Source organism: Homo sapiens, chromosome 10 (genome assembly GCF_000001405.40).
Source record: "Homo sapiens chromosome 10, GRCh38.p14 Primary Assembly".
Taxonomy (NCBI): Eukaryota; Metazoa; Chordata; class Mammalia; order Primates; family Hominidae; genus Homo; species Homo sapiens.
In genome coordinates, this window is record NC_000010.11 from 102,673,437 (window position 1) to 102,696,661 (window position 23,225).

Consider the following 23,225-nt stretch of genomic DNA (forward strand, 5'->3'; position numbering starts at 1 on the left):
CCAGGCCCCACCTGCACTTAAAGGCTCTGTGATTTCAGGCAAATTCCTTAACTGGGGCAAATGTCTCAATGTCCTCTGCTGCAAAGGGGGACTAATGCTCACCACGATGTATCTGAAGTGCCCGGCACGTAGGAGGGGCTTAATGAAGGGCTATTATTGCTATTGTTGGTATCCTATTTTATATATATATCCTTCTGGAAAAAACCTCTTGAAGAAAGCTAACCCCTGAAAGGACAAACACATTTCAGGCCCTCTCTGAGCTTCAGCAAAGAACACAACACATTCCAGGCTGCCTTCGTTCCAGCTAAATTTTATTTGTCGGATTTTTGACAGACGTCTAAATTATACATTGAGTTTTCCACATGACCAAACACCACATCTCTTCCTTTGATTATCATTTTCAAAAGGGATTATAAAAAAAGAACCTTTTGATGGATCAGACTGAACCCTGAAACCACATGGAGTGCAGAGCTAAAAATAAAAGGAAGTAAGAACTGGTCCCCGAGAAGGAAAGGAAAGGGAAATCAAAGCAAACTCTGACGGGAATGGAGAGACGAGTCCTGGTGAGGGTGACATGGTGTCACCCTCCAGGCCAGGCCGGATAAGGAGCGGCCAACAGTGAGGGTGGGGCGCAGAGTGGCACAAAAATAGCCACTACTTTAGTCCAGAGGGGAATAAAGAAATTTGTCAAAAGCAAGGAGAGAGAAGTGGAGACGGAGGGAGGGAGGAAGGAAGGGGGCAGGACCATGTCCTCCCAGCAGCCGTGGGAGCTGCGGACTCCTTTAACCCTGGCACATTTCTAACCGCCGGCATAATCGCTGACTTTCAGCTGTGCACCGACATGTTCCCCAGCTCAGCCCACATCAATGACACCCTTGTTTCCATAGTAACCAAGGGAGAGTGAAGGGGAAAGGGTGTGTTGCACTGGGTGCAGGGAATCCAGCCAAAAGCAGCCACACGGGGTAGGTCGGGAGGAGGGGAGGACTCGAGTTTTTCCCACAACTGGCTTGAGCACATATCACGAGCACCCCCCAGGCCTTGCCTGCCCTCCGGCCCCCAGCCCTCTCCCCCGCACATTCAGATGCAATTGTGCGCAGGGCAAAAGTCTCGCTAAGACTCACTGGGGACAGGAGGAGGGGAAAAGGGGTCTTCCCTTTCCAGCTTCAAATTCTGTCTTCTGGTCAGGGGGCAGGAGTGGGCAGGGAAGAGGCAAGAGGGCTTTAAAAAGTATTTTGTTTTTAAATGGGAGCTTTCAAACTCTGCCTTTTTCAGGCTTCTCTCATCTACCCCAGAGCCCCAGGAGGGTTCAAAAGGGCTCAAAGGGAAGATGAAAGCGTGTGACATCTGCAGTGTCTCTGTGTCTCTGCAGCTGAGAGCAAATCAGAACATTTACAGAGGCCGTTATCAGAGGAGTGGCTTCTGCCTGCTAGGAGAGGCCTTGGGATGGCTCTTTAAAACAGTCCCCTAAGTTGGTGGTAAAAGAACAAAAATATTTTACAGACCCTCCAATGCCAAAGTTCCATACTGCAGTGTTCCAAAATTGCAGACCTCCAAGCAGGCATTTTGCCCCTCAGATAACTTGTCCCTGCTGAACTATTCGGAAGAAAAAACAATTTGCAAGTGCTAGAGCCACATTTGCAGCCTGGTAGAAGGGGGATTTCTGATTCCTTATAATTCTGTGTTGCCTCTGTAAGGGAGAGCTTGGGTGAGCCAGAGAAGCCAGTGGAGGAGGCTGCAGAGAGCAGCTAGCTCTGAGGTTAAAAAAACCCCTCACTTTCTTTTGTTTTGCAAGTCCTTACAGGTCTGTCCACAGCAACTCTGGGGCACCTTTTCACGGCTGGCTTTGTTAATGACTTTCATGTCAGATCGCTTTTGAAGCTGGCTATGCCTCAGTCTCTGCTGCACTCTTAGCCAGAAGCAGCTGGGTATTGAGGGCCAGGGGCTGCAGCGGCCCCTTCAGTCTGCTCACACGCCCTGATGGGCTTGGGAAGGGCCACCTCCCAGGATGAGAAGGCAGCTGGCCCCCAGGGACCCACCAGTCACTGGACAGTCTCTTATTCATTCTCTGAAAACCCCTGAGCTCAGGCACCAGAACAGAGTTTAATTCAGGAGCCGGGCAATGCTCTGGCCTGTTTCCCCATGTTTGAAGCTGAGGATTTCTGAGGTTCAGGGAAACAAGCTCGTTTTGCAACGAGGGGCAGGAGAAATGTTCTGCTATTCCTCTCCAATCAATCAACAGAGGACGGACATTCTGCTGCAGAGAGGCAGAGGAGCCCAGCAGCTGGGGTGACTCTTGATTCCTTGGACACGACCCCTGCAGTCACACACACACCCATGTCCTCCCCAGCAGCAAACCCTCTCCATCCAGGAGCATCCCACACCACCAAGTTGCCAGCACTGTAAAAATTGATCTAAAAATCGATCTGCCTGGCTTTTCTCAGTGGAGCAGGTTCATGGTAAAGCTGCATTTATTTCTAAAATCTGATAGCAGCGGCCTATTGTGATCGTTTAAACACAGAATTCTTTGAGCTTTAGAAATCCTGTCTATAGGACGGCCGTGGAGAAGCCAGCTAATCTCAGAGTCGGCTGCTCACTGCTCCACTGAGCTGGAGAAAGCCTGTTTACGCTAGCCTGAGCCCTCGATGTGAGAGCTTTTTAAGGACCTTGTAATTTTTCTGGAATTAAACCTCCCACCTCTCCTTACATTCCAGATGTCATTACAGTCAAAAGTCATAAGAATTTGCTTCTCTGTGTGGCTGGCTGGGGCAGAGGCAGGGGTGGGTGGGATGGGGTATGTTTCTGTAGTGACTTGTCTGCAAGAAAGACTTTTTTTTTTTTTTCTGTCCAAAGAGTGAGGATTACATACGTAGTCTCCGACCTGCAAGACGATGAGATGGTTTAATTATCTGCCTTTTCTCCCCCCACCCCCACCCAGCAGCTTCCTGTCGGACAGACTGAAGCCTGGCTGGGCTAGTGACGGTAAAAATCACTGACAGCACCAGCAAACACTGTCTGTGGTTTCAAAACCATGGAGGGAATGCAAGGGACGGGTCAGTAAATAAATGAACTCAGCAAAGCTGCTTCTTCCTCTTTTTCTTTTTCTTTTTTTTTTTTTGAGAGGAAAAAAAAGCCCACTGGAATTGTCTAAACTGCAATGCAATCTCTTGCTCATTTAAAAGATCTCATTTTCTAATCATGTGCTTTGAGACATTTAATACTATTTCAATTATGCAGAGGAAATAATATAATTCCTTTATTTGAAAAATGATACTGAACCTCAGAGATCAGTTAAATCTACTGCTGGAATGGGGATTCTTTCTAAACCGTGTTGTTCCCTCTCTTCAAACAGCTGGAGCTGTACACAGATGGAAAAACATTTGGTCAGAAAGCAGCAAATTAGTGTTTTTCAGGACCGAATTCGGCTCCCGCAGCTCCTGCATCTCCATTCGTCTAGATTTTATTTCTTCTTTGCATTGACATTTTTGCAGACCCAGTTCATGCCATCCTTTGAGGGAAATGGGCAGAGAAAGGCAGTGTTAGTTATAAGAAAAGCACCACACACTCTAGCCTGGAGGGGCGGGCAGTGGGGGTCCCAGGCCCTCCCTCCCAGACCGCCAGCTTTAGGGAGTTTGCTTGGCTCAGGGGCCCACCTGGGTGACCAGGGACAGTGACCTCCCAGGAGGAGGAGGAGGGAGGTCTCTGAGAGCACAAGAGGGCGATGGGAGGGGGATGCCCAGCGCCTGAACTTGAGATGGGTCCTCAGGAACTCCCTCTGAAAAAATAAACACATCTGCCTGCATCCAAAGCCTGACTGAAGAGCTATCAGGAAAGATTCCAGCCATTTTTGGCTTTTTCTAAAAGGTGACCTTTGCCAGGGCATTAAATTCAATAAGCCACCCTTTTGGTGCCCCATGTGTTTACAGTGTGACAGTGTACACTTGGGTTAAATTAAATTTCTTTTTGGAAAAACAAACCTACTGCAGTGAGTGTTGCGAGGCACACACCAGGGCGATGTGCATTTACTTCTCTTCCTGCAGCACTCCAGATAGGTTTAAAAGGGTCTGGCCCGCTTCTTATAGCTTTAAGCACCAGCATCCAGAGGGACTGGGGAGAAGGTTCCCTTAAAGGCACAATGACCTTGAAAGCGCCCTCTCTTAGAAGGCTGAAGAGGGACCAAGGTAAAAATCACACAATGCCTACAGCTACCTGGCAGGCAGCATAATTCCTACGGATGCCAGGCCTGTCAGAGGTGAACTCCTTCCCAACCCCCTTTGGAGCCAAACCTGGACACTCTCCCCTTCCCTAGAGTCTCCCCAACCTTCAAGAGTGTGTGGAGTTCCCTCAGAAGCCCTGAACAAAATCCAAGGCAGCTGCTGCCATGAGTCCTTCCCCTTGCATCTGTAACAGAGGCTCACGGAGGTCCCAGCTACATCTGCACACATCAGCCATACTGGACATGCCACCGAGTCCCACATTTCCTGTGGCCATGGATCTAGCTGCCGAACCTGAACAGCTGAGACAGCTTACAGTAATAAATATCAGCTGACACCCTTGGCCATTCGGAACATTAATCCCATAAACAATACATCACTGCAAAAAAACAACCAGCAGGCATCCTCTCTCCTGGCTCATCTGACCGTCACCTGAATTTACAGTGATTACAACTCTGCCAGTTGCTGTCAGTGCACTTGGGCAGCAGAACTAGATAATCTGACGGCTGTCCCAGAGCCGACATCTGACCTTTGCCAAGATGAGGCCGGTGGCGCCGAAAGCCCGAAGGTGGACAGCACCTGGCAGCAGCAGGGGGAAGGGCAGAGGAATGCCGAGGTGGGAGAAATGAGGACTCCAAACGCATCTCTAATTACAATGGGGTCAGCTACTTACTCTGAGAAGCTAAGGCCAATTTTAAGACCATTTTATGAAAAGGATTAATTTAAAGAGAAGCATGTTTAATTTTAGTAGCTAATTGGTTTCCAGGAAAAAAAAAAGATCACCTGTCAAGAGACAAAAAAGATTTTACAAATAAAAGAGGGATGAATAAGATAAGCATCTTCTCTCGCCTGGGAAGCTGAATAGCTCAGCACTTACATAGCACTTTCCACCTTCAGGGGCTCACACAAACACTCAAAGGTGGGCACCTCAACACTCTCTCCTCTACGGAGGCTCGCACTCAAACCATCTTCTCAGAGAAATCAAGGACAGTGTGCCCACACTATGTGAATAGCGCTTTGCCTTTTCCTTGCTTTATGGCTGATTAAGGAGAGATTATTGCATATAACTGAACATGAATGCAGGCAAAGAGATAGGAAAAATATTTACTCAGCTGCAGGAGCCCAAAGCAGAAGGTGGAGGGTGTGGGGTGGTTTTATGCCGGGTCTCTGTTATGGAGGCAAAGGAGGGTTCAAACGGCAGAGCCCTGCTGAGGGACAGTGTCTGGTGTCTCCAGGTGCCTGTGAGGGCCAGCAGTGGTGAAGCCCTTCTAGCCACTGTCCTGCCAACAGAGGGCGCACAGAGGCCAGTCCCTGCCAGCTGACCCCCGGCCTGGGCCCCTGCAGCTGCCGCTGCAACCCTGAGTGTGGGAAGCACAGGGAGCGTAAACAGGGGACCGAGCCCTGTGGCTGCCCTGGGCCCGGGAGGCCCCTCTAATCTGAAGCGGCTAGTGCTTGGGGAGTGGCATCTTTCTTGTGCTGGGCAGAAGAGAACTGGGCTGGAGGTGGGAGGGGAGGGAAGGGGAGGCATTGGCCAACAATGGTACCTCCTCAATCACGTGGCCATGGATCTAGCTGGGGCAAGCTTTGTCAATCACATCAGGGCAAGCTTTGTCAAGCTGCCTCCTGGAAAGGAAAGGCAATGGTGGTGCCCAAGCTCCCCTAGGGGAGGCTCCCATCAGACTTGCTGGAGATTATATTCCCAGAACCTAACATGATGTCTAGCCCACAGCCCACTTAATTCACATCTTTTAAGTCAATCCTTGTAGAAGCCTGCAAAGTAGGTGCTGGTGTTATTTCTCTATCACAGCTGAGGAGATGAAGGCACAGGACAGAGCAGGGCAATGGCAAGCTGTGGTGCCCAGCGTGGTGCTCCAGAGCTGCTTACCAGTTCTCCACGGATGTGGGTACCTGCCGGGTGAAGGGTTCTGCCCCAAGCTTAAAGAGGAGCTGGGAAGCACCCTGAAGATGGGAAAAGGAGGAATTCTGGTTTTATCCTCCTTGTGACTTCCGCTAAAAACAGGGGCCTGAGACTGGAGTAGCCCCAGCCAAGCCTCCCTGCAGCTCCGATAGTGCCAGAGGTTGTTATGGGCCATTCAGTTCTCAAGATTCCTGGGCTGTGGGTATCTGTATATGCAGAGGCCTGGTTATCTGCCTGGCTGCACAATCCTCACATATTAACCATCCACCCAGACCACCTCCTCCAGTGGAAATGCTACATTTAGAGAAAACATACTTGCAAGAGGAGGAACCTTCTGCTTCTTATGTTTAAATAAATGTTCCATACCACTCTTGCTTTCACCTGGCAAGGAAGGCTTTTTTTTTGAGACGGAGTCTTGCTCTGTCGCCCAGGCTGGAGTGCAGTGGCATGATCTCGACTCGCTGCAAGCTCCGCCTCATGCCATTCTCCTGCCTCAGCCTCCCAAGTAGCTGGGACTACAGGCGCCCGCCACCATGCCCGACTAATATTTTTGTATTTTTAGTAGAGACAGCGTTTCACCATGTTAGCCAGGATGGTCTCGATCTCCTGATCTTGTGATCCACCCACCTCAGTCTCCCAAAGTGCTGGGATTACAGGCGTGAGCCACTGCACCTGGCCGAATCTTTATTGTTAAAAACTGGTTTGACCAATTTTCTGTACATTTGATCTTCATTATGGGGATGACGATCTTACGGTATGAATAGTCCTCCCTTCCTTCCTTCCCTGGACCCTCCCCTGACCAATCTTGCTGAAACTGAATTTGAATTGATTAGCTTCAATTCAATAACAGAGACTAAAGAGAGACATGGAATTTCAAATACTGAGCTTTGTTTGGCCTCCTAGAGAGGAAATAAAGTTTCCTATGTCACAATATTATTCTCCCCTATAACCACTGGGAGAAACAGCAGGCCACCCCTAAGCATACAGGGGAAACTCACTCCTCCCAAATCTCTGCATCCCAGAAGTTAAGGTGCACTGCTTCTTTCCAAGGGAAGAGTGGTCTCTGACTATGCTGCTCTCTTAAATTTGATCTCTGTACATTGCATCCATCACTGCTCGGTAGCTGGAAGGAAGCGGTGGCAGCCATGGCTGTGTGGGCCTGGTTTTTAGAGCCATGCTGGTTACGTGGTCACAGCAGTAATTGCTTTAAGATGATGAGGTGCTCGGACCCTTGCTGAGCAATGCAGCCTACCTCATTGTGCCATCAGGCCCCCAGGGTCAAGAAGCAGCTGGATGCTGCTTCCATCAAATATGGCTCGCTATTAGTAGTTTTTTTTTCTGGTGACAAAGGGCATTGCACCAGAAAGGTAGTGAAATCGCATGTCCTGAGACTGCTTTCTTAGTCTCCAGAAAAGTTTGAAAATTTAAAAATAAACCTGAGGTCTGACTCACAGATAAGCAGTTCCATATACACCTGGAGTCAACAATAACTGATGCCAGGCCTAGAAAGAAGTGGTAAATTTTGTTTTTCAAAATATCAGGCCAGGCGTGGTGGCTCACGCCTGTAATCCCAGCACTTTGGGAGGCTGAGGCAGGCGGATCACCTGAGGTCAGGAGTTCGAGACCAGCCTGGCCAACATGGTGAAACCTCGTTGCTACTAAAAAAAATACAAAAAATTAGCCAGGCGTGGTGGTGGGCATCTGTAATCCCAGCTACTCGGGAGGCTGAGGCAGGAGAATCGCTTGAACCCAGGAGGTGGAGGTTGCAGTGAGCCAAGGTTGTGCCATCGCATTCCAGCCTGGGCAAGAAGAGCGAAACTCCATCTCAAAAAAAAAAAAAAAATTAAAATTCTGTGGCATATTAGGGACAAGTCCCCCAAATCAAGGAAAAAGAAGCAAAACCAAGAAATGGGCGAGTGAGCATTTAGTGTTCCTCTGGAGGCTGACTCAGGCACGGATCACAGCTCGGCGCTCGGACTGCTCATGGCCCCTTTTGTGGACACAAGGCAACTGAAAGCCTATGTGACCTGCTCATGGCTCCTGTCTCCAGGAGGAGGAGAGGAACGTGGGGCAGACATCACAAGAAAAGGTGAGCATGAGGGGGTGGCCTGGAGAGCAGCACCCAGGGCACGATCTGCTGGCTTAAGGTTATGGGAGGAGGCAAGTCTCCGTGGTGACCATGGCTAGAGGTCAGGTTAAAACTTCGGATCTCTGCTTTGAGAGGAAATTCAAAGCCAGTATCATTTTAATTACACATACCACACACACATGCACACTCAGAGTATTTTAGAGAGAAAATGTCTTCAAATGCCTGGAACTGTAACAGCAGAAAGAGCTGTGGTTTGGGGTTCAAGTTCAGGTCTGTGGGTGGAGGAGGGATGGATTTCTCGATACCTTTCTCTGGCTCTAAGCCAGATCCTTTGTTCACTATTTTCTAGACACCCAAGGAGGGAAAAAAAAGACTGAGAGTCCCAGTGCAGAATGTTTCATCCTAGGAGGGGCCCTGGCAACCTGGGCCTGACCTCGAGGGCGCAGAGTGACACTTCCTCCATGTTGATAATGGAGTCTGGCTTCGGTTCTCCCTCCCAGACATTTTTCAGTTTCTCCTCTTTCCGCTTTCATCCACTTGACATAACTGGGTCTCTCCTCATCACTCCCCTGGACAGTGGGCCTCTTGGCACAACAGAGTTTCTGAGATTGATGATCTCCTTCTGCTTCTCGTGCCCTTTACCTACTCTCTGCTCCTGATGGTCTCCCGTGAAAACCTGCTTTAATCATACAATGGGCTGGCTTCCCAGTCAGCACCAATGAGGAAAAGAAACCCCGGTTCCATCCTCTCTCAAAAGTCAGTTTCCACACCTGAAGCAGAGGCTGGTGAACAACACGTGGTACTTCCCACCCCTGTAATGGCTTCGTATGTGCTGCCTTCAGGACACCAGGTGGAACGGGACCCTGAAATCCATCCCAGGAATCACTAACTTCCATAGTCTCAAATCATGTGTTTAAGCTACTCCACTAATGAGAAGTGATGTACCTGCCCTACTTCATCCACAGAGGGGCGTGGCTTGCCATCTAGCAGCTCCATGGCTGTTTCCTTAACTCGCCCCCGTGAGGCTACCTATTGTTAAGCAGTACAAGACAGGTCTCTTAAATATGTTTTGATTAAACATGTACGATGTATGTGTCTGTCTTTAAACACTTGAAACTGCAACAGAAATTCCAGGTCCTTTTTTTATTTTTAAACCTTTGTACATTTTCTTTCAGAGTTGTTAGAATCAGATGTCACCTGACTTGCCTATTCAGTGCCTAATCATTTGGGCCAGCTTTTGGGGAGGTGGGGTGGGGTAGGGAGGAAAAAAACAGGAATTTAGGGCATTTCAGTAATTATTGCACAGTTTTCACGTTTGAAAGTGAACCTCAAACCATTCGATCTTTATTGATATTTTTCTAGTAAAGTCTTTCAGTTTTAGAATATTTTTAGCCCTAATAAATAAAAATTACTAAAGGCCTGTACTTCAACTAAGCAATGCTGGAAAGGAATTCCACTTAAGTGACTCTTTTTAAGGCAAAAACCAGGAAGCTGGTGTGTGGACAAGAGCTTGGGTCAGAGGCACCACCTTAGGGAGGTACACGGTCAACCAGTGGCTCACAGTGAAAAGCGCTTCCACAGCAAAACTCCATGACCTTTCTCTAGTCCCCAAAGGTTACCACGAAAGGACAATAGACAGCAGATTCCCTTCTTAATTAACATTTTTATTAAATAACCCATTTCAAATAATGGTTAAATTCTCTAAATTTATATCATTCTATTAACCATAATCTAATCTCATTAACCTTGAAATCCCAGTCTTAACTACCCAATTCTATACACCATGGTACTATCTACTAAACTAATTAAGTGACCTTCAAACTATTTCTCCTCCATACAAAAATCATTTTTTATTTTTTGCTCATAGTTTTTTGTTGGATCTCTCTTGATATCATTTCCTGTGAACTTGGTTGCTGAAGGCCCCAATCTGGGAAGAACTTTCTTATCAAAATCAAATCATATATAATAATCTCACTTTACTCACTCAAACTGGTTTATTTTGCAGTGCTCCCCTGCCTGTCCCCAACCCCACCCTCTAGCTGCCTAGTAGCTTGCTGCCTCTTTTGTGGCCTAAAGATCCCGTGAAGGGCACTGTCTACGGTGGTTACACAGCCAGGAGCATGGAGTTCTATCCTTTAATCTCCACCTGATGGGAGTTGGGGGAGGGCTGGGGGTTGGGAAGAAAATGACAGGAGATCCCTCTCTACCTCCAGGCTTCTCTGAAGCAGTGTCCTTGACTTTAAATGCCACGGCTCTAAATACTGATTCTAGATTACTCTAGTTCTCCTTTTTCACATCGCTAAGGCTGGTGGAAGATACAAGAGGCTTACTGTTAATTCTCGCTTTGCTTTTTCTTCAACACTCTGGTCAAGCAAAAGAAAGATTCCAGAGCTGTACTTGCACTTTCTTACGAATATGCACACAAACTATATTGCTTTTCTTCAGCCCCACCTTCATAATAGCCCCCAACCTCAAGATGCTCTCAGCTTTCTCTCTCTTTTTTTCTTTTTCTGAGACAGAGTCTCACTCTTTCACCCAGGCTGGAGTGCAGTAGTGCAATCTCAGCTCATTGCAAGCTCCGCCTCCTGGGTTCAGGCCATTCTCCTGCCTCAGCCTCCCGTGTAGCTGGGACTACAGGTGCCCGCCACCACACCCGGCTAATTTTTTTGTATTTTTAGTAGAGACGGGGCTTCACTGTGTTAGCCAGGATGGTCTCGATCTCCTGACCTCGTGATCTGCCTGCCTCGGCCTCCCAAAGTGCTGGGATTACAGGTGTGAGCCACCACAGCCGGCTACTCTCAGCTTTCTAAATTTGTCATCTAAACCTTTTAGACAGGCTCATGCTGAAGTGGTTTTCAGAAACACAAGAAAATTACTATCTTTTCTTGGGTCTCATCTTCATCAAAATAACCTTAGGCCTTATGACTGCCATCCTATGTGCAATCGGAGTAAAATATGTTAGACAAATTTTGATTGTTTATTTTTATTTATTTATTTATTTTGAGAGAGAGTCTTGCTCTGTCGCCCAGGCTGGAGTGCAGTGATGCGATCTTGGCTCACTGGAACCTTCGCCTCCCAGCTTCAAGCAATTCTGCTGCCTCAGCCTCCCAAGTAGCTGGGATTACAGGTGTGCACCACCATGTCCGGCTGATTTTTTTTGTATTTTTAGTAGAGACGGGGGTTTCACCATGTTGGCCAGGCTGGTCTCGAACCCCTGACCTCAGGTGATCCACCCGCCTCGGCCTCCCAAAGTGCTGGGATTACAGGCATGAGCCACTGCACCTGGCCTTGATGTTTTAAAAAGCAGCCAGGGCCGGGCAGGGTGGCTCATGCCTGTAATCCCAGCACTTTGGGAGGCTGACGCAGGCAGATCACTTGGGGTCAGGAGTTCAAGACCAGCCTGGTCAACATGGCGAAATCCCGTTTCTACTAAAAATACAAAAAATTAGCTGGGTGTGGTGGTGAATGCCTGTAATCCCAGCTACTTGCAAGGCTGAGGCAGGAGAATCACTTGAACCTGGAAGGCGGAGGTTGCAGTGAGCCGAGATTGTGCCACTGCACTCCAGCCTGGGCAATGAGAATGAAACTCCGTCTCAAAAAAAAAAAAAAAAAAAATTAGGGGGAGCCTGCTTTTCCGGTACACAGTTCCTCAGTACAAAGCATGGGGCTTTCTGTCAGCAGAAGCCTCCCAGTGGGAAACCAACCTGAAGTAGCAGGAAACAGACACCAACCCTAGGGGTAGGGAAGATAACCAACAGAAGAAACAAAAACACTTCTAGGATGACTAGTACGTGTATGGTTATTGGTGGCTATCACCTTGGAAGTACAGGCATTTTAGCATCCGTAATATTAGACACAACACAAAACCCCAATCCAATCAATCATCAAAGAATCCTAGAGTTAGAGACAATCCTCAGTCTTCTGTTCTCACATCCCTCCCAAAGGGGAAGCTTGCTGCACATGTGGGGTGGCTTACCTGGGGCACTGTTGGGGCACCTCATGATATCTGATTGGTTGCTAAGCAGAAAAGAACCAAATTCCTCCATGCCCTTCATATCTTGGAATGGCTCATCTGCCCATCAAGATCAGCCCAACCAATGAGACAGACCACCTCGGTTAGCTGTCATGTTGCCAGGTGGCCAAGCCTTCCTGTAATCTCACCTGAACGCCCTCTCCTGTGAGAGCTGAGCAAGACTGGATCTGCCAGACTCGGTCGCGGATGGTATGCAGGTTCAGTCCTTCTGCAATTTCAGAGGCAGGGGCTGCTGTGAGCAAATCCTGCTTATTAGCAAAGATGAGCACTGGCACACAACTTAGTTTTTCTTCCTCCAGTAATTCCGCTAGTTCCTGGATTTTGAGAAGGGAGAGGGAGGGAAGGTTAAAATCTATACATCTATGATATTTAACCATACACTACTTTTTTTTTTTTTTTTTTGAGACAGAGTCTCACTCTGTCACCCAGGCTGGAGTGCAATGGCGTGATCTCGGCTCACTGCAACCTTCGCTTCCCAGGTTCAAGTGATTCTCCTGCCTCAACCTCCTGAGTAGCTGGGACTACAGGCATGCACCACCACACTCAGCTAATTTTTGTATTTTTAGTAGAGACAGGGTTTTGCCACGTTGGGCAGGCTGGTCTAGAACTGCACACCTCAGGTGATCCACCCACCTCGGCCTCCCAAAGTGCTGGGATTACAGGCGTGAGCTACCATGCCCGGACAACCATGCAGTTCTAATCAGAAAAAAAAATAACAGTTAAGCTGATCAACTAGCAACTTTCAAGAGTAGTGATTCTCAAACTTTTTTTTTTCTTTCTTTTTTTTTTTTTTTGAGACAGGGTCTCGCTCTGTCGCCCAGGCTGGAGTGCAGTGGCGCAATCCCGGCTCACTGCAACCTTTCACCTCCCAGGTTCAAGCAATTCTCACCCCTCAGCCTCCTGAGTAGCTGGGACTGCAGGTGCACACTACCATGCCCAGCTAATTTCTGTATTTTTAGTAGAGATGGGTTTTCACCATGTTGGTCAGGCTGGTCTTGAACTCCTGGCCTCAAGTGATCTGCCCGCCTTGGCCTCCCAAAGTGCTGGGATTACGGTGTGAGCCGCCGTGCTCAGTCTGATTATCAAACTTGAACCTGTATAAGATTCCCCTGGCAGATTCCTGGGCCCAACCCAGAGATGCTGACTTTGGAAAGTCTGAGCTAGGGCTCAGGAATTTACTTTTTTTTTTTTTTTTTTTTTTTTTTTTGAGACGAGTCTTGCTCTGTTGCCCAGGCTGGAGTGCAGTGGCGCGATCTCGGCTCACTGCAACCTCCGCCTCCCGGGTTCAAGCAATTCTCTGCCTCAGCCTCCCAAGTGGCTGGGATTACAGGCGCCCACCACCATGCCTCGCTAATTTTTTTTGTATTTTTAGTAGAGACGGGGTTTCACCATCTTGGCCAGGCTAGTCTTGAACTCCTGACCTTGTGATCCACCCCCCACCTTGGCCTCCCAAAGTGCTGGGATTACAGGCGTGAGCCACCGCGCCCGGCATAGGAATCCACATTTTTAGCAAACTCCTGAAGTGATTCCGCTACAGATGATTCACAGATCACTTTTTTTTTTTGAGACAATATCTCACTCTGTCATCCAGGCTGGAGTGCAGTGGTGCGATCACAGCTTACTGCAGGCTCAACCTCCTGGGCTCAAGCAATGCTTAACTTAGCCTCCTGATCAGCTAGCTGGGACCTCAGGTGATTGCCACCATGCCCAGCTAATTAAAAAAAAATTTTTTTTGGCCAGGCGCGGTGGCTCACCCATGTAATCCCAGCATTTTGGGAGGCTGAGGTGGGCGGAGTTCGAGACCAGTCTGACCAATATGGTGAAACCCTGTCTCTATTAAAAATACAAAAATTAGCTGTGCATGGTGGTGGGCACATGTAGTCCCAACTACTTGGGAGGCTGAGACAGGAGAATTGCTTGAACCCAGGAGGCAAAGGTTGCAGTGAGCTAAGATCATGCCACTGCACTCCAGCCAGGGTGACAGAGTGAGATTCTGCCTGGAAAAAAAAAATTTTTTTTTGTAGAGACAGGGTTTTGATATATTGCCCACGCTGGTCTTGAACTCCTGGGCTCAAGGGATCCTCCTGCCTCAGCCTAACAAAGTGCTAGAATTATAGCGATGAGCCATCACACCTGGCCCATAGAACACTTTTGAGAAAATCATTCAAGGGAGAAGACAAGAAGTGGTTTGAGATTCAAAACTTACCCAAGGTTATTACCTGCAAATAACTTTCAATGCGTGTGTGTGTGTGTATGTGTGTGTGTGTATGAAATTTAAACTGAAAATGACAATTACTTTAGAGATAATTCTGTTTCATCAATCTCTATCTCTAAAACATGCATGCACATGCTTCACATTTCATCAAACCTACATCCTAAAATAACTTTATTGGTCCATCTGGCAAGGTCCCTGATATTTAGGTTATAGGTTGGGGTCTAAACTATATGTGATTTTGTTTACAAAAACTATAGGAAAGGGTGTATATGTACTTAAATGATAGGCCCCACCTTTTCCTCATTAAATCCACATTTTAGCTACTTAAAACACATGGGCTTTCAAAGAGAACTGTATGGATCAAGAGGCAGATGACTACATAGGACCCCCTCCACCTCCAAGCTCATTTCACATGAGTGATAATCCAGAAATCATCAGGGTATGGAAGGGTGGTGGGTTGTTTCCAGAAGTCTGGAGAGTTCTCAACTCAATTTCAAAAAAAGGGACATAAACATGAGAACTGCTACCTTTGGAAGGCCACCTGTGGTCATTTAGGACACAGGCCAAGGACTCTGCAATGATAACTTTTTAAAAAACTTTTTTTTTTTTTTTTTTTTGAGAGGGAGTCTCACTCTGTCACCCAGGCTGGAGTGCAGTGACACAATCTCGGCTCAGTGCAACCTCTGCAGTGGGTTCAAGTGATTCTCCTGCCTCAGCCTCCAGAGTAGCTGGGACTGTACAGGCACGTGCCACCACACCTGGCTAATTTTTTGTGTTTTTAGTAGAGACAGGGTTTCACTGTGTTAGCCAGGATGGTCTTGATCTCCTGACTGCAAGTGATCTGCCCACCTCAGCCTCCCAAAGGGCTGGGATTACAGGCGCGAGCCACCGCACCCAGCCCTTGGCATGTGCATTTTTTCCTGTCCTTTCAGATTTGTCAAAGTTACCCCTGAATCAATTAAGTAGGTATTGAAAAATGTAAATAAAAATGAGAAGTGACTTGTTCCTCTGGGTTCGTTTTCACATGGCCTGGGAAAAAACCTGAAGAGCCTTTGGGCATGGTGCTAAGTTCCACTTGTCTGTATCTCATATATTCAATTTGATTAAAGCTAAAAAGCTTTAATTAGAAAACTGTTTAGGCTGGGCATGGAGGCTCACGCCTGTAATCCCAGCACTTTGGGAGGCTGAGGTGGGTGGATCATCTGAGGTCAAGAGTTCAAGACCAGCCTGGTCAACATGGTGAAACCCTGTCTCTACTAAAAATACAAAAAAATTAGCCGGGCGTGGTGGCGCACGCCTGTAATCCCAGCTACTTGGGAGGCTGAGGCAGGAGAATCACTTGAACCTGGGAGGTTGAAGTTGCAGTGAGCTGAAATTGTGCCATTGCACTCCAGCCTGGGTGACAAGAGTGAAACTCCGTTTTGGAGGGGGGAAAAAAAAACTGTTTAAAGAACTCTCAACTAATTTCAGACAACTGGTATTTTTGCCTGCTTGCTAGAATAACTGTCTTGTTTGAACTGTAAAGGTTAACAAACAAAACAAAACAAAAACCTCCCTCACTCTCACACATTTACAAGGTTGATTAATGAATACCCAGTTATTTGGGAACTATCTCAACAGAAGAATTAGTATTTAAAAAATATACTAGGCTGGGCGTGGTGGCTCACGCCTGTAATCCCAGCACCTTGTGAGGCTGAGGCGGGAAGATCACCTGAGGTCGGGAGTTCAAGACCAGCCTGACCAATGTGGTGAAACCCTCTCTCTACTAAAAATACAAAATTAGCCAGGCGTGGTGGTGCATGCTAATTCCAGCTACTCGGGAGGCTGAGGCAGGAGAATTGCTTGAACCTGGGAGGCGGAGGTTGGGGTGAGCCGAGATCATGCCATTGCACTCTAGCCTGGGCAACAAGAGCAAAAACTCCGTCTCAAAAAAAAAAAAGTACATACATATATATATATAAGAACTTTGATATAAAAAAGAATTATTTACCTGACCCGTCTCTTCAAATCTTTTTCTGTCTGCACTGTCGATTACATATATCTATAAAGGAAAAGAAGAAGGTTATTTCAGTGAGCAGAGATGGAAAAGACAGGGCAATTTCTGCAAAAGGAGCAGGTGATCCCCAATCAGCATATTCCAATTAGCACAACATACAGAAATTGACTGGTGAGTCTCATCTCATTTATGAAGGCCAAACAAACAAATACACAAATTAATTAAATAGGGATGCCCAGAAAATACCTTCAGCAATGCTCCAAAGTCTAGGATTTAGGAAAACCAAGTGGGATAAAATAGCTACATTTAATGGGCACTTGATGTTGTCACTAAACATTACTAGGTCTACTCTATTAACCCTCATTACAACTCTACAATATAGATTTCACTATTTTCCTTTTTTTTTTTTTTTTTTTGAGACAGAGTCTTGCTCTGCTCTGTCACCCAGGCTGGAGTGCAGTGGCATGATTTCGGCTCTGGGTTCACCCCATTCTCCTGCCTCAGCCTCCCCAGCAGCTGGGACTACAGGCACACGCCACCATGCCCAGCTAATTTTTTTGTAGTTTTAGTAGAGACGGCGTTTCACCATGTCGGCCAGGCTGGTCTCGAACTCCTGACCTCAAGTGATCCACCTGCCTCAGCCTCCTAAAGTGCTGGGATTACAAGCATGAGCTACTGTGGCTGGCCTACTTTGTTTAAATTATGTTAAGTTTAAACACAAAGCTGATATTAATAATAATACAGTAAATGATTAGTAGTAACATGAATATATCTTGAAAAGACATTTATATCTGTCAAAAGGCTGTTATTATTTCTCGGCCTAAAGAGAAATGGAAGATACCCTATCCCCTCCCTTCCATCACACTTCAAGTTTTATTTCTTAGACAAACCCTCAAATTAATAAAGCTCATGTCAGATGTTCTCAATGTCGTCTTCCCTAAGAATAACTCTGGTACTTCTAGGAGTTACTCTTAGTCTTTCAAACCTCTTTTTTTTTTTTTTTTTTGAGATGGGGTCTTGCTATGTTACCCAGGCTGGTCTCAGACTCCTGGGCTCAAGGGATCCTCCCACCTCAGCCTCCTGAGTAGTTGAGATTACAGGCATGCACCACCAGACACAGTTTAGAGAACCATTTAATTTAATACTCCAAAGCAAGGGTAGGCAAACTTTTTCTGTAAGAGGTCAGCAGTCAATATTTTAGCCTCTGTGGCCCATACAATCTCTCTTTTTCTTTTTATTATACTTTAAGTTTTAGGGTACATGTGCACACTGTGCAGGTTAGTTACATGTGTATACATGTGCCATGCTGGTGCGCTGCACCCACTAACTCGTCATCTAGCATTAGGTATATCTCCCAATGCTATCCCTCCCCCCTCCCCCCACCCCACCACAGTCCCCAGAGTGTGATATTCCCCTTCCTGTGTCCATGTGATCTCATTGTTCAATTCCCACCTATGAGTGAGAATATGCGGTGTTTGGTTTTTTGTTCTTGCGACAGTTTACTGAGAATGATGATTTCCATACAATCTCTTTCACAACTCTTGAACGCTCCTGTTATTGTTAGAAGGCAACCACAGAAAATCTGTAAACAAATGTATGTGGCTATGTTCCAAGTAACTTCATGGACACTGAAATGTGAATTTCATATAATTTTCACATGTTGTGAAACATTATTCTTTTGGCGTTTTTCTCCCCAACCACTTAGAAATGTAAAAACCACTCCTAGCTTGAAGGCTGTACAAAAACTGGAGGCAGCCTGGATCAATTTGTCGACCTGCTCTATAAAGCAAGATTTGATTACGGTACTCTAGAGATAATGGGAAAGAATGAACCAGGCAACTCTTGTGTCAAGCCTCAAGCCTGCTCTTCTAGGCAGTGTGGAGTCTAGCGTAATAAGTCTTTTTCAACCAACAATGGAAGACTATTAAACATAGACAAATATAACCCATCCACCACCTTCACTCTAAGCTGCTACAAAACTGGCAGACAGGGCTGTGAGTCACAAGGCCTTAGAATCTAATCCCAGGGACTCAGTTCCTCCCTCATACTTGTTTAATCTCAAACAGCACTGGAAAATAATGAAAGGTTGACTCTCAATCCAAACTATTATCTTGTACTAGTGTCGAGTACAAGGATGCAGCTGGAGGAAGCTTCTCTAGTGTTGCTGTGAACCGATTTTTGCTGGATTGTACGTTAATTCCCAGGTACTCTCAGATCATGTGAATGTGGAATCCAGGGTTACATTATATTACAACCAACTTGCAGTCTGCCCTCAAGCTGTTAGAGCTTATGATTTAAAATTACCCTTACCTGGAGACCAGAAAGTTTCTGAGACCTCCTTATGGAGACTTACAATCATTAATGTCTTTATATACTTCTCTTCCTTGGGTATTTCTTTCAAGATACCTTAATCCAGCAGATGAACAGATAGGAATGTAATTTCTCTCAGCCACCTGCTTTTTCCTAACTCATGATTGAAAGAGGAAAAAGGAGTCTATAGCTTTTGAAACATGTATACACTTTTGTTTTTTTGTTGAGACGGAGTCTCGCTCTGTCACCCAGGCTGGAGTGCAGTAGTGTGATCTCGGCTCACTGCAACCTCTGCCTCCTGGGTTCAAGCGATACTCCTGCCTCAGCTTCTCGAGGAGCTGGGATTACAGGCATGTGCCACCACACCTGGCTAATTTTTATATTTTTAGCAGAGATGGGGTTTCGCCATGCTGGCCAGGCTGGCCTCGAACTCCTGACCTCAGGTGATCCACCCACCTCAGCCTCCCAAAGTGCTGGGATTACAGGTGTGAGCCCTCCGTGTCTTTTTTCTTTTTTTTGAGACAGAGTCTCGCTCTGTCACCCAGGCTGGAGTGCAGTGGCGCGATCTTGGCTCACTGCAAGCTCCATCTTCTGGGTTCATGCCATTCTCCTGCCTCAGCCTCCCTAGTAGGCTGGGACTACAGGCGCCCGCCGGCACGCCCAGCTTTTAGTAGAGACAGGGTTTCACCGTGTTAGCCAGGATGGTCTCGATCTCCTGACCTCGTGATCTGCCCGCCTTGGCCTCCCAAACTGCTGGGATTACAGGCATGAGCCACCGCACCCGGCCCCTCTGTGTCTTTTCATGACTTGATAGCTCATGTATTTTTATCATTGAACAATATTCTACTATACGGGTGTACCACAGTTTGTTTATCTATTAACCTATTGAAGGACATCTTGGATGCTTCCAGGTTTTGGCAATTAGGAATAAAGATGCCATAAACATTCCTATGCAGAATTTTGTGTGGAATATCAATTTCCAACTAACTGGGTATATATCTTGGAGTACTGCTGGACTGTATGCTAAGACTATGTTTAGCTTTGTAAGAAACTACCAACTGTCTTCCAAAGTGGGTGTACTATTTTGTATTTCCACCAGCAATGAAGAGGAGTCCCATTGCTCTACATCCGTATCAGCATTTGGTATTGTCAGTTTTTTTTTTATTTTAGCCAGTCTAGTAGGTATTAATATGTAGTACCATATTATTGCTGTTTTAATTTGTAAATCCATAATGACATATAATACTGAACATTTTTTATATGCTTATCTGTTTCTTTGATGAGGTGTCTGTTCAGATCTTTTGCCCATTTGTAAAACCAAGTTGTTTGCTTATTCTTGAGTTTTGAGTTATTTGTATATTTTAGATATAACTACTTTAACATATATGTGTTTTGCAAATATTTTCTCCCAGTCTGTGGTTTGTATTTTTATTCTCTTAGCAGTCTCTTTTGCAGAGCAGAAGTTTTATTTTATTTATTTTTTTGAGATAGAGTCTCACTCTGTCACCCAGACTGGAGTGCAGTAGTGATCACAGCTCACTGCAGACTCAACCTCCTGGGCTCAAGTGATCCTTCCACCTCAGTCTCCCGAGTAGCTGGGACTACAGGTCCACATCACCATGACTGGCTAATTTTTTTTTATTTTTTGTAGAGACAGGGTCACAGTATATTGTGCAAGCTGGTCTTGAACTTCTGGACTCGAAGCATCCTCCCACCTCGGCCTCCCAAAGGGCTGAGATTACAGACATGAGCCACCAAATCCAGCTTCCAGAAGTTTTATTTTTATTTATTTTTTTTGAGATGGATTCTTGCTCTGTCGCCCAGGCTGGAGTGCAGTGGTGTGATCTCGGCTCACTGCAAGCTCTGCCTCCCACGTTCACGCCATTCTCCTGCCTCAGCCTCCTGAGTAGCTGGGACTACAGGCGCCTGCCACCGCGCCCGGCTAATTTTTTTTGTATTTTTTGTAGAGATGGGGTTTCACCGTGTTAGCCAGGATGGTCTCGATCTCCTGACCTCGTGATCCTCCCGCCTTGGCCTCCCAAAGTGCTGGGATTACAGGCATGAGCCACCGCGCCCGGCTGCTTCCAGAAGTTTTAAATTCATTTAAGTCCAATTTATTTCTTTCATGGATTATGCTTTTTGTGTATCTAAAACCTCATCACCAAACTCAAGGTCACCTAGATGTTCTCCTATGTTGTCTTCTAGGAGTTTTATAGTGTTTGGGTTTTACATTTAGGTTTAAGATCCATTTTGTCAAGGGCTCTAGGTCGAAGGAAAAAAGAATCTATTTTAACATTTTAAGTTAAGGGGTAAGGATGGGTCTAGATTCTTTTTTTTTTGCATGTCGATGTCCCATTATTCCAGCGCCACTTGCTGAAAAGATTATCCTTCCTCCCTTGAACTGTCATGTTCTTTTGTCAGAGAGAGTGGGCCATATTCATGTAAGCCTATTTTGGGGCTCTCTATTCTGTTCTGTTGATCAATTTGTCTACTCTTTCTCTAATGTATGCTGTCTTCTTTTTTTTTTGAGACGGAGTTTCACACTTGTTGCCCAGGCTGGAGTGCAATGGTGCAATCTCGGCTCACTGCAACCTCTGCCTCCTGGGTTCAAGCGATTCTCCTGTCTTAGCCTCCCGAGCAGCTGGGATTACAGGTGCCTGCCACTACACCCGGCTAATTTTTGTATTTTTAATACAGATGGGGTTTCACCCCATTGGCCAGGCTGCTCTTGAACTCCTGACCTCAGGTGATCTGCCTGCCTCAGCCTCCCAAAGTGTTGGGAGTGCGGGCGTGAGCCACTGCGCCCGGCCTATGCTGTCTTGTTTACTTGCTTTACAGAGAATCTTGATGTCAGGTAGTGTCAGTCCTCTAACTTGTTCCTTTTCAGTACTATGTTAGCCATCTAAATCTTTTGCTTTTCCATATAAACATTAGAATCAGTTTGTCAATATCCCCAAAGTAACTTGCTGTGATTTTGATTGGGATTCTATTAAATCTATAAATCAAGTTGGGTATAACTGACATCTTAATAATACTGAGTTTTCCTATCCATGAGCACGGACTGTCTCTTTATTTACCTAGATCTTCTTTATGAGTTTTGCAGGTTTCTTCAAGTAGGTCCTGAATGTATTTTGTTAGATTTATGCCTAAGTGTTTCATTTTGGGGGTGCTAAATGGTATTTTGCTATTAATTTCAAATTTCAATTGTTCACTGCTGATATAAAGGAAAGCAACCGACTTGTACATATTAACCTTATATCCTGCAGCCTTGGTATGATCACTTATTAGTTCTAAGTGTTTCCTTGTTGATTTAAAATTTTTTTTTTGTTTTTGAGACTTGTTTTTTGTTTTGAGACTCTTGTTGCCCTGGCTGGAATGCAATGCCATGATCTTGGCTCACCGCAACCTCCACCTTCCGGGTTTAAGCGATTTTCCACCTGAGTAGCTTACGGGCATGTGCCGCCACGCCCAGCTAATTTTGTATTTTTAGTAGAGACGGGGTTTCTCCATGTTGGTCAAGCTGGTCTCGAACTCCTGACCTTAAGTGATCCACTTGCCTCGGCCTCCCAAAGTGCTGGGATTACAGGAATGAGCCATCGCACCAGGCCTGATTTAAAATATTTTTAATTATTTTTATTTTTTTGTTTTTTTCTGAATTAAAAGAATTTTATCTTACCTCACCTTATCTTATCTCATCTTATCTTAGAGAGAGTCTCACTCTTGTTGCCCAGGCTGGAGTGACCACCATGCCCGGCCTTATTTTATTTTTTATTCAGACAGAGTCTCACTCTGTCACCCAGGCTGGAGTGCAGTGGTGCAATCTTGGCTCACTGCAAGCTCCGCCTCCCAGGTTCATGCCATTCTCCTGCCTCAGCCTCCCGAGCAGCTAGGACTACAGGCGCCCGCCACCATGCCCGGCTATTTTTTTGTATTTTTTAGTAGAGACGGGGTTTCACCGTGTTAGCCAGGATGGTCTCGATCTCCTGACCTCGTGATCCACCCACCTCGGCCTCCCAAAGTGCTGGGATTACAAGCGTTAGCCACAGAGCCTGGCCAACATTTTTTTTTTTTTTTTGAGACGGAGTCTTGGTCTGTCGCCAAAGCTGGAGAGCAGTGGCGCAATCTTGGCTCACTGCAACCTGCACCTCCCTGATTCAAGCAATTCTCTGCCTCAGCCTCCCAAATAGCTGGGATTACAGGCGCCCACCACCACGCCTGGCTAATTTTTTGTATTTTTAGTAGAGATGGGGTTTCACCATCTTGGCCAGGCTGGTCTTGAACTCCTGACCTTGTGATCCACCCGCCTCAGCCTCCCAAAGTGCTGGGATTACAGGCGTGAGCCACCGCACCCGGCCAACAGTTTTTTAAAATGCAAAAATTCCTGTCCTCACGGAGCTTACCTTACAGTGCAAGAGAAAGCTAATAAATAAAAATACGTCTGATGGCAATAGGT

General features: G+C 46.3%; 1 protein-coding gene across 2 annotated transcripts in view, besides 1 other annotated feature; it reads right to left on the reverse strand.

Annotated features, from left to right (window-relative positions):
• Positions 295 to 23,225, reverse strand: part of ARL3 (ARF like GTPase 3) — a 40,667-nt gene continuing 17,736 nt past the window's right edge. For both annotated transcript variants that reach the window (NM_004311.4, XM_017016260.2), the window contains exons 4-6: positions 16,457 to 16,507; positions 12,380 to 12,565; positions 295 to 3,505 (exon numbers count right to left, since the gene is read on the reverse strand). In NM_004311.4, the coding sequence (NP_004302.1) occupies positions 3,458 to 3,505; positions 12,380 to 12,565; positions 16,457 to 16,507 (285 nt within the window). In that variant the 3' untranslated portion in view covers positions 295 to 3,457. The remainder of the gene's footprint in view (positions 3,506 to 12,379; positions 12,566 to 16,456; positions 16,508 to 23,225) is intronic.
• Positions 369 to 918: an enhancer, noted in NCBI's record as "H3K4me1 hESC enhancer chr10:104433562-104434111 (GRCh37/hg19 assembly coordinates)". NCBI's record gives its function as "activates a minimal SCP1, AML or CMV promoter by ChIP-STARR-seq in primed H9 embryonic stem cells {active_cell/tissue: H9 hESC(primed)}" and the evidence as "EXISTENCE:reporter gene assay evidence [ECO:0000049][PMID:30033119]".